Source organism: Homo sapiens, chromosome 4 (genome assembly GCF_000001405.40).
Source record: "Homo sapiens chromosome 4, GRCh38.p14 Primary Assembly".
In the NCBI taxonomy this organism is placed as follows: domain Eukaryota; kingdom Metazoa; phylum Chordata; class Mammalia; order Primates; family Hominidae; genus Homo; species Homo sapiens.
This window is the reverse complement of record NC_000004.12, coordinates 88,697,909-88,709,494: the sequence shown is the minus strand read 5'-3', so window position 1 is coordinate 88,709,494 and position 11,586 is coordinate 88,697,909. Positions and strand designations below refer to the sequence as shown.

General features: G+C 41.4%; 1 protein-coding gene across 9 annotated transcripts in view, besides 1 other annotated feature; it reads right to left on the bottom strand.

Moving 5' to 3' along the window:
- Nucleotides 1-955: 955 nt before the first annotated feature.
- HERC3 (HECT and RLD domain containing E3 ubiquitin protein ligase 3) overlaps nucleotides 956-11,586 on the bottom strand; it is a 184,697-nt gene continuing 174,066 nt past the window's right edge. For all 9 annotated transcript variants that reach the window (NM_001375483.1, NM_001375482.1, NM_001375479.1 and 6 more), the window contains 3 exons: nucleotides 5,214-5,397; nucleotides 4,885-4,987; nucleotides 956-2,743 (listed from right to left, as the gene is read on the bottom strand). In NM_001375483.1, coding sequence (NP_001362412.1) covers nucleotides 2,535-2,743; nucleotides 4,885-4,987; nucleotides 5,214-5,397 — 496 coding nt within the window. In that variant the 3' untranslated portion in view covers nucleotides 956-2,534. The remainder of the gene's footprint in view (nucleotides 2,744-4,884; nucleotides 4,988-5,213; nucleotides 5,398-11,586) is intronic.
- Nucleotides 11,517-11,576: an enhancer, noted in NCBI's record as "active region_21717". NCBI's record gives its function as "activates an Ori minimal core promoter by ATAC-STARR-seq in GM12878 lymphoblastoid cells {active_cell/tissue: GM12878}" and the evidence as "EXISTENCE:reporter gene assay evidence [ECO:0000049][PMID:35858748]".

The window sequence follows — 11,586 nt, the reverse complement described above, 5'->3', positions numbered from 1 at the left end:
AGTTAGTTAAAATAATTTGGCAATTTCTGTGCAAAATTAAATGTAGTGGGGTTTGTTTTTAACTCCTCAAATGTAGCACTTATGTAGATTATTAAATGTTTGTTGAATGGAGCTTATTAATGGAAAGCTCCTATTCTCTTTACCACCTTTAAACCACCTTTTTAATCTGGCAAAACAATACATTTTACTTGCTTTACCAATTTACTTAAAATCCTTTCTTTTTTTTTTTTTTTTGCTGTGTCTCACAAACTTTTGGTGTGCTTAAATGGCCTAACAATCACCAATCACTAAATGAACCAGTCTCTGATCCACCTTTAGTGCCTCCTTCTCCCTGCAGGCTCCTACCACCTCCACTCACTCCCCCTACCTCTCCTCAGATACTCTTCTCTAGTTCTGCTGCTGCCACTGTCACTGCTGTCTCAGCTCCTGTCTTTCTGCTTCAGTCCTTCCCACCTCAATACCTCCAGATTTAGACCATCCACATTTTCCTTCTTAAGACCCGGCTCAGGTCTTATCACCCTCAAGTTCTGAACATTGAAACAAATCCTACTTGGCTACTACTAAAGTTCCAGTGTTAGGCTAGTTCCTCAGCCCCAAATCTACCTTCTTTCTCCCAAGTCTTACTTACCATTATTTACTATTATTTGCCTATTTCCTCTGATGTTCCCTTCAAACTGTTCTTGGCTCTTGCCTAAATATGCCCCAATGTTTGAGCCTTTGCTAAAGCATCCCTCTCCATGAGAAACACCTTTTCGTCCATCCCAACCTTCAAAAACTTCATTCTTCCTTAATGCCATCTGCTCCTTGCCCCTGCTTTCTTCTCCATTTCTGCAGCACTTGGCTCTACTTTCTTATGCAGGAATCAAATCTGACCTTCTATTAGATTATCTGAGTATACGACCTAATGCTTCTACTAAAAGCAAGCTATCCATTCTGCAAGTACAATAAGAAATAGTTTTAAGTTAAAACACCAAATTTATTGCATAATATTGAACTATATGCACACACATAGAAAATAAACATTTCATATAACTGTATATATATTTTTAATCCTGTATTTATAAAGACTGAAAAACTACCAATTTAGCAATTGGAATAAGTTTTAAAAACAAAAAGAAAAAGCAAAAATCTACAATCCTTCATCAAGATTTGATGCTTTATCACAGTTCATAAATACTTCATTTTATATAAATAAGTCTTTTCTCTAGTTACTAGGAATTTAAAATTAGACTTACATGGATTCTTTAATCATGTAGAATTTTCTTACTCCATGATGAGGAAGGTTGAGCATGTCATTATTTTTAAAATACATATATTTGATTTAAACACAATCCCCCCTAAAATCCCACTGTAAACAAACATTTCGAATGTGATAAAGTTTCATAATAAAGAACGTCCTTAAATCTTAGCAATTAGGGAAGAGGAAAAAAAATCTGAGTAAAAATTTTGCAATTTAAATAAAAATTGAAAAAAAGGCTGCATGCATCCACTAGAAGGAGAGGAGAGGAAGGGAGCACTGAGTCAAGTAACAGAGAATGGGATAAAATAAAGAAGAAACGAAAGGAAAATCAGGGAGGACACAGGGTACGAAAAGGAGAAAATAAGGGAAGGGAGGAAGGAGAAAATGGTAGAGGACATAAGGTGATAGAAAAAGGGAAAGTAAATTTATTATTTCTACTTTTCTTGGACAATATAGAGACTCAAAATAGTTAATGCAACTTGCTCCAAAAGCGAGAGTGCAAGAGGTGGTGGGTCTATCAATTAACCTTATTGTCAAAGGGACAAGGATGAGCAAGAAAAAATTAGGCTCAGCTGCAACGAATGCTAAGCTGCTCTGCACATCTTTTAAAAGGTCTAGGAAATAGGCACAGCCATGGGAAAGTTGCTATTCCCTCAAGAACTTTTTAAAAGCAAGATATGTTTATATAGGCTCCCATAAATTCTTAGGAGTTCTGCCAAAATAATGGACCCAGACTCAGCTTTTTGGAATTGGGAGTTTCTGAAGCAGTCCTTTCCTCCTTTGGGTTAAAGGAGGGCTGCAACAAGCCAGAGGCATTTCCAAGTGTACAGAGGAAGGTGATGTTCTCGCATGCGCAGATAAAAAAGGACAGGTCAGTCTAAATCATTCTTATAGAGGAATGAGAAGTTAAGAGAAGGACAAGGAAGCACTGTGAGAAAACATCAGGGCTGAGAGAGACATTTGGGAAATTAAAGTTTAAAAATCCACTGCCATTTCATCCAGCAGAGTGCAACACATTCACAAGTGCAAGGAATACTGGGTAGTTTGGTTTAAAACAAAAACAAAAACACCTCCCATACAAGGGCCAATTTTTCACCCCATCCCCAACCTCTAATTTTTCAAAAAGGTTGTTTACTGCTATACAATCCCAGAAACACATCAACCAGGCTCAGTATTTAAAAGTCCCAACCCACTTAGACAATAAAAAAATAGAAATCACTCCCCATGATTTTCTGTATAGGCCTCAATGTGGACACTGAGGAACGAAGGGAAATACTGGACAAGCTGAGAAGCCTCAGGCCAAACTAAACCCTTCATAGTTGTCAAGGGCCTGGGTCAGCCGGGCACTCAGAATCTCTTTGCTGCTGTACTTGGGGAGGTCAAGAAGGTTGTAGCAAGTGTGGGCCACCGGCAAGTACTCCTCCCCGCTGGCTGTGGACTGGATGACAATCTGCAGACTGGCCATGCCGTAGATGGGAATCCGATCGCTGCCTGTCAGGAACACTGGGGAGAACGAGAAATGGCATTAGCAGCTAAGCAAACGGAAAATGGATCTCAGAGATCCTTCTGGCAACAGGAGAGGAAGGCATGACACCCTGTGGCTTGCATGAGAAGTACAATTACATTTATGTGCCAATATGCATCCTGTGGAATGAAAATTAGATGCCGTTAAGAAAAAAAAAAGGCCTCAATCAAATGTACACCCTCACAAATGTTAGATTTCACAAAATCAAAGAGGGAAGGAATTGCTGTCATAGGAAAAGAGGAGCTGATCTTAAGGGGAAAACAGAAGAAGACTGAAGTCTCTGACCTCAGGGTCTCCTCTCACCTCAAGTGCCTGATGCCTGTACCACCTTGTCTACGGAATTCCATTTAGGATCTATTTGCTCTCCTTTCCACGTCTCCATTTTTCTTAAACCCGAAGAGCTGACCCAAACATTATGTTAGACATTGCACTCTTGTGACATGCACTGTGACTTGGCAAAAGAGAGAGAGGGAGACAGACAGAGAAAGACAGCTCCTTGTTTTCTAGTGCTGAACAACACTCTCATAGTTGAATTGCTGGAAATTACTATAAGAAAATCATTAGTTAAGAAGCACTTTCAAATAACCTGCCATTCCCTGAGGCTGTGATACATAAAGTTTCTTGCCAAAAATCTCCAGAGTTAACAAACATTTCTGTAAGTCTAATGAACAGAAAGTGCCATTTTCTAGGGAAATTCCAGGACCATGAGCAGGCATCTCTTGAATGTCACAGCCCTACAAGCTCACTTGGCAAACCTTAACCTGTCATTCAGCTCTTCCACTACTGCTTCTCAATAGCCAATGCAGCCAGGCAGAGGAGAAGTGGTCCCTCTTTTTAAGAATTCTTGTGTAAGATCTCCACTTCCTCTCATCCTTGCTCCCATGTGAGCAGCAGAACCTGTTAAGTCCTACATTAATACTAATATATGCTCCATCTTATAAAGCAAAATAGACTGCCTATCAAACCCTGTGCTTTGATTTTACATGACTAAAATTCCATACTATGCACTAGCTAATTTCTGACGCTGATTACACACAGACACAAACTGAGAAATATTTCAACCATTTTTAAAAGGCTGAATTTGTTCATGTAAATTAGAATTCATTCTCCTTTCCAAAGGTATTATTACCCTTCTCAAATGTCATTCAGCCAGCCACAAAGGTCTACATATTATATGATTCAATTTGCATGAAATATCCAGAATAGGCAAATCCATAGAGACAGAAAGACTGGTGGGGGAGCTGGGAAGAAATGGAGAATGACTGCTAATAGGTATGGGGTTTCTTTTTTGAGGTTATGAATGTATTCTACAATTGACTGTGTGTTAGTTTCACAACTGTGTGTATACTGAAATATACACTTTAAATGAGTATGGTATATAAATTATAGCCCAATAAAGCTGCTATAAATCACACCTTCCCAGTTCCATCTGGATACTTTGTAATATATTTTAAAGGCTAGAGAGATAAGAGAGGTTAATCCAAACAATTTGACTTCATAAATGGAATACTTGAATAACTTACATATAAAATAATTGGTATTTTTAGAATAATTTAAAAATCAGGCCAGGCGTGGTGGCTCACACCTGTAATCCCAGCATTTTGGGAGGCCAAAACAGGCGGATCACTTGAGGTCAGGAGTTCAAGACGAGGACCAGTCTGGGCAACATGGTGAAAGCCCATCTCTACTAAAAATATAAAAATCTGCCGGGCATGGTGGCAGGTGCCTGTAGTCCTAGCTACTTGGGAGGCTGAGGCATGAGAATCACTTGAATCCAGGAGGCGGAGGTTGCAGTGAGCTGAGATCACGCCACTGCACTCCAGCCTGGGCAGCAGAGTAAGACTCTGTCTCAAAAAAAAAAAAAAAGAAAGAAAGAAAAGAAAAATCAGTGAGATGCTTCTTTTCTTCCTTTCATGCAACCCCTCTTGTTAGGCAACAGATCTGGATTAACAACCTATATTGTGCCTGAGATAACATTAAGACAAAAAGCATACATATAGTGAATTACCTGGTCTTTACCATTTAAATGAGTTAAGCCTCAGCTGTGGAGCATGTCATCCTATACTGTATGTAAGACTAAAATGTAGACAAATACCATATTGAGATTACTGATACTTACAGAGAAACTTCTTCTTCTTTTCCAATGGAAACTCATGAAATGTTTCCCAAAATAGTTTTACAGTGGGATGTGTGGCCGAGTAATCTCCCTTGTAGATGGCAGTCTGTCCAAAAAAGAGAAAAAGAAAAAAATGTATCTTGGAAGAATATTATAGTGGACATTATATATCATTTGCATTTGAGGCTAAGAAATAAGTGCTGAGATACAGGACACCTCTAAATCTAACTCAACCACAGTATGCTTGGAACGAGACCAGGCTCTGGGAACACCTCCCCAGGCTGCTGCTGCTTCGCCGGAGTTAAAGGAGTTAAAGGATCTTTTGTGCTTACCTCTTCCAGTTCTTCCCAGTTGTAGTTGCTGTTCCCCACCATCATAGCCCTCAGTTCTGAAGGCTGGAAGAGCTCAAGTACTTTGCCACCACACACCTTTAGGAAGCCACTAGAGAAGGCTGTGTACCATTCATGAACTGAGATTTGGAAGACATAATTCACATAAGCATCCACAAATTCCTGCCTGCCAGAACACAAAAGAAAATACATTTAGCTCAAAGTCTTGTAAAGCTTATGAAGTTACCCTTCTACACTGAGATTGGGAGTGATAAAAAATAGAATTTCATCAAATTCTCAAATCAGGAGGCATCCTAAGGCATCATATAGGTTACCAGCTCTCCTCTCCTCCCTCTCCATCCCCAGCCCTAACATTCCACCAAGTGCCTCAGGTGATCCAAGGCAGGATAAGCCAGATAGGAAGGGCAGCAGGCCAGGTATATAGAACTAAACTACTGGCTTTACCTGAGGTATTCCAGTTTTCATGTTAAAAGCCCTGCTTAAAATTTAGTGTGGAAAAAATAATAAGACCTTTTCTGCTTAAAATAAAAAGTCTAGGATAACAGTTCTAGGCCATTTTCCTCAGAAACAAATAAAGCTAAACCACTTGATACTTGTATCCTCACCTGTTTTAAAAGGTTCATTTTATAACTCCTTGTTTATAAAACCTTTACCTCTGGGAAGAACCATCTCAAATAAAGGCTCCATCTCACTAATAATCAGGCAAATGCAAATGAAGACGAGTGAATTGTCATTTGCACTCATCAGACTGGCCTAAGTTTAAAAATGAGATTATATCAATATGGTGAAGGTGTGGGGAAAACAGAAACCTCATAGGCAGTTGGTAGGAAGATAAACTGAAATGATGGGAACCATATCGCAACCATGGAAATATATAAAGATCAACCAAATGAGAAGAGCAAAGGCTATTTTTTCAGAGCTGCTATAGCAAGAGAGTCAGCCACTGTCACTTGTGTTGTGGCAGAGACTCAAAATCAAGCAGAGGAGTGGAAAAGCTTTACAGTGGAAAGAGGGAAGGCTTCAGGTACACTCTGATTGGAGGCTGCTAGTCTGGGGAAGCTGCAGGTGGGCTAACTAGAAGTGGGGCATCCTATGTGACTGGTTAAGGGTGTGTATTTGGCTTTCTCTGGTTGGCCCTAAGTTGGAAGTAGGAACAAAAATTAGGGAAGCTGCTGATTATTAATCACATCCTGGCCTATTTGGGCCCACTGTTACAGAAGTTATCGAGACAGATGGCAATCAGGCTGCCTGCAAGTCTGACTTATAGCAGGCTGGCTTCCTGGGCTGCTTATTGCAGATAAGAGGTTGGTTTCCCGGGCAGGTTGCTGCAGATTGTGGGTCTCAGCTCCATGTTTATTTATATATGGCCTGGCCATTGTCCATAGGAATATTCAGTCTCTCACAAGTGGAAATATAAACTGTGAACCTAGACATAAACATTTTGGGGGGAAATTCTGTCAATATCTAGATAAGTTGAAAATGTAAATACCCTTGACCATGCCACTGTGCTAGCGGGTAGGTAATGCAGAGACGCTAACATGTGTGCACAAGAAGATGAGTGCAGGCAAGTTTACTGCAGCATTTTCTTGCAATATAGAGAATTTAGAGAAACAACACTAAACATCCATTAATATGAACATGGACAAGGAAAAGATGGTAGAGTCATATGATGGAAACCATAAAGCAGAGCACTTTGATGGAATTAACTAGATCTAAACTTAGCAAAATGAATAGAATCTCAAGAACAATGCTGAGTGAAAATCAAGTATTTGCATGTTCAGTAAAATATGATGGCATTTATGTAAGTTGTGTTTTAACACTTAAAACAATGCTACTTATAAAAGGTAGTAGCTCTGTCACTCAGAGCTTGTGACCCTTGGGCAAGTTATTTAACTTCTCCATGCCTGTGTCCTCATTTGTAAAATGGGGGAGAGTAAGAGTAGATAACACATGGGACTGCTTTAGGATTAAATGAGTGAATACATGTAAGAGTGCTTAAACCAAGGCTGGTGTATAACAATTACTTTGTAAGTATTAACTAGTATTATCATATTGTTTATGGATATGAGATTTTGCTTATGAGTATGAAATTATAAATATGATGCATACATAAGATGTGTAAGTGTTCATTTTTAAAAACAAAGACATTAATGTAAAAAGATCTTTGTCTAGCCAGGTGCAGTGGCTCATGCCTATAATCCCAGCACTTTGGGAGGCTGAGGCAGGCAGATGGCTTCAGCCCAGAATTCAAAACCAGCCTGGGCAACATGGCAAGACCCAGTCTCCACAAAAAATTAGCCAGGCCTGGTGGTGCATGCCTGTAGTCCCAGCTGCTCAGAAGGCTGAGGTGGGAGAATCACCTGAGCCCAGGAGGTCAAGGCTGCAGTGAGCCATGATCACGCCACTGTACTTCAGCCCGGGTGACAAAGCAAGACCCTATCTCAAAAAAAAAAAAAAAAATCTGTTTTAACATACATGTTTATTATAAAAAGTATAAAAACATAAAAAAAACATATCAAATTCATAAGAGTTTTGTCTGTGTAAGAAAGAAGGGCGGGAAGAGGGGAATGGAATTAAGGGTATGTACAACAGTATCAGTAATTTGGAATTAAGGGTATGTACAGCGGTATCAGTAATTTTTTTCTTTTATTAAAAAATCTGAAGCAAATACCTGTTGACTGTGGATCATATATACAAATGTTTGTCACATTAACTTTTTGTATTTTAGATTAAAAACAATTTTAAAACTTCACATCATGAAGATAGTTATTTACTACTTATCCATCACTGTAATTTAATACTTCATAAAGCTACATTTGAATTATTGGGTTTCCTCCAAGCAGATAGTTTTTACATGTTCACCATCCACACCAATAACTAGCCAACAAATGGTGTAATACAGTGGATAAGTGAGGCAGACAGGGGTTCAAATCCAGGCTCTGCCATCTTCTGTATCTAACTAGTAAGCCTCCCTTTTCCCATTTTTAAAATGGTATAACTGTGCAATCTTTAAAATAAAGCCACTAATGTAAAAAGATTATTGTGCATGTTAATCATTGATGCTGAAAGTTTCTCACACCGTATATAACACCTCACTTCTCTGAAACCCATGACACTAAACTAATGACATTTTTCTGATACAATTACCCAAGAGAAACACCATCACAACAATTTTTATTACAGACTGTGATGGTTAATTTTATAGGTCAACTTGGCTAGGCTATGGCATCCAGTTGTTTGGTCAAACACCAGTCTGGATGTTGTTAAGATATTTTTTTAGTTGGGATGAACATTTAAATTCATTGACTTTGAGTAAAGCAGGTTACCCTCCATAATGTGGGTAGGCCATATCCAATCAGCTGAAGGCCTTAAGAGAAAAAGACTTGAGGTCCTCCAAAGAGGAAAGAATTCTCCCTCCAGACTGTCTTTGGACTCAAGATTTAAATATTAACTATTGCCAGAATTTCTAGCCTTACAGCCTACCCTGCAGATTTCGGGTTTGACAGCCCCCACAATCACATGAACCAATTCTTTAAAATAAATCCCTCCTTGCCCCCACCCCCCTCGGCTTCACACCCTGTTGGTTCTGTTTCTCTGGAGAACACTGACATATAGATTTCGGTACTAAGAAGTACAGTACTACAACAGCAAATACCTAAAAACGCAGATGTGCCTTTGAAATGAGGAAATAGGTAGAGCCTGAAAGAGTTTTGAGGAGCTTGATAGAAAAACCTAGATTTCACTTAAGGGACTATTGGTAGAAATAGCTCAACAGTCTCAGGAAGCAGCCTGAGACTCTCACCATCTACATGCCCAATCTTGAACCTTTTAGCTAGCAGCCTCCGGTCTTCCTTTTTAGCAACACTAAACAGATTAAAGCCACTTTGGGAAACAGTGTGGCAGCTTCTTATGAAGTTAAGCGTACATTTACTGTATGACCCAGCAATCCCACTGCTAGGTGTCTACCCAAGAGAAATAAAAGTCCATGCTCATAGAGAAACCTGTAGATGAATGATCACAGCATTATTCACAATTATGAAAAACTGCAAACACCACAAATGGGAATACTACCCAATAATAAAAAGTAAAATAAAAAATAATAAAAAATAAATTTACTAATATATACAACAACATAAATCAATCTCAAATGTACTCTGCTAGTAAAAAAAAAAAGCCAGGCTCAAATGGCTACATTCATATGATTCAATTTACCTGACATTCTGGAAAAAACAGAGGTACTGAGACAGAGAACAGCACAGTGCTCACCAGGGCTGGATGCTGGGGAAGGGCCACAACGGACTTTTAGGGGACTATTTACTGTTCTATATCTTGATTACTACAGTGCTTACATTACTGTATTTGCTTGTGAAAGCACGCCCAAAAGGACAAATTTTACTGTTATGTAAATGATACCTCAATAAGCCAGACTTTTTAAAAAACAGTCTGGTTTAACACTAAGTTTTAAGATCTGTTGAGACAGGAAAATAAAAATCTTGAAAGATGAACATGCCCTAAATATTTTAAGCAAGTTAAGTTAGTCAAATGAATTTAACCAAAATGTGGGATTTTTTTTTTAAAGTCTGTCACAACATCCATACTATAGGGGTCAAAAGGCCTGTTTTCTGCCCCTGCATCTGCCAATTAAGTGATACATGCAGTAAGATGATTTCACTGTATTTGCTTCTAAGTTTACTATCTGTAAAATGAGAAACATCATTCCTAATCTCAAGGCAGCTGTAGCCATCAAAAGAGATGATATATGGGAGTGAGAAAGAAGGCAGAGAAGATGGTGAGCCAGTAAGAAGATGGTGAGCAGGGTAAAGAAGACGGTTGGGGGAAGGTGGTGAAGACCGTGGGGGAAGGTGGGGAAGAAGACAGATCGTGGGGAAGAAGATGGTGGGCAGGGTGGGGAAGAAGAGGGTGGGGCTGCGTGGGTGGGTGGGGAGGAAGAGGGTGGGGCTGGGTGGGTGGGTGGGGAAGAAGAAGGCGGGGCTGGGGGTGGGTGGGAAGAGGGTGGGGCTAGGGGGTGGGGAAGAAGAGGGTGAAGAGGGTGAGGAAGAAGAGGGTGAGGAGCGTGAGGAAGAAGAGGGTGAAGAGGGTGAGGAAGAAGAGGGTGAGGAGCGTGAGGAAGAAGAGGGTGAAGAGGGTGAGGAAGAAGAGGGTGAGGAGCGTGAGGAAGAAGAGGGTGAAGAGGGTGAGGAAGAAGAGGGTGAGGAGCGTGAGGAAGAAGAGGGTGAAGAGGGTGAGGAAGAAGAGGGTGAGGAGCGTGAGGAAAAAGTTCGGTGGGGGGAAGGTGAGGAAGAAGGCAGTGGGTGAGGAAGAAGGGGGTGAGGAGGGTGAGGAAGGTGGGGAAGAAGAGGGTAAGGAGGGTGGGGAAGAAGAGGGTGAGGAAGGTGGGGAAAAGGACAGTGCGGCGGGGGGAAGGTGAGGAAGGAGGCAGTGAGTGGGGAAGAAGGCGGGGAAGAAGATGGGCAGAAGGTGGGGCATAAGTCAGTGCGGGGGAGGGGCAGGAGGGAGGGAGAAGATGTGGTGTGGAAAGGTGTGAAAACAGATAGTGGGGAAGGCAGGGAAGCAGACGGTGTTGGGGGAAGGCAGGGAAGACGAATGTGAGCGGGGTGGGATAGATGGCACATGCTTTAACCAAGATAAGAGGGGGCCTTGGCCCTGGGCCCCATGCTTTAGAAAGACTTGCTTTTTTTCAGCCCTCCTCAAGCTTTAGTCCTTCCCACAGGCCAAAGATTCTGTAGGATCTTCTAGAACACACACCAGGACACCGGGAGCTCTGAGATTTCCTACCCAAATGGCTCCAAAACTGCTTCCAGGGGAGTCCTGCTGAGAGACGACCTTGCCACCAAGATATATGCCGCTAGGTGTGTGGGATGGCCAAGGGGGTGTTGGGTGGACACATAGGTACAGAGCTTGGATATGCAAGCTGCCCTATCCACACACATGCACCCCAGGTCCCCAAAGGGGTGGAATGGAGCCAGCTTGCCCGTTCCTCCACTGCATGGAGAGGAATGCGGAGGAATCTAAGAGGTGATCAAACGCCAGCTATGGAGAGAGATGCAGAGGAAAGCGAAGACATATGCACTGGCATTTGTAGAAGGGCCTGGATGGGGGTGAGGAGCACACGGAAAATGGTCTGAGGCCATCTATGCAGTTCCTGAAGAAGCACCTCGGGCAGCTACTGACACTCCCAGCCCAGCTCTACAGGGGTGGGTACATGGGTGGGCTGGGAACAGGGTGTCTGTCCAACAGGCGGGTGTTGAGGGCCCAGAAGATGTCAGGGTAGCAACAGGAGGAATCTGGTGCAGTATGAGCACACGGCCGTCAGCTGATAGTGGGAAGCCAGTCA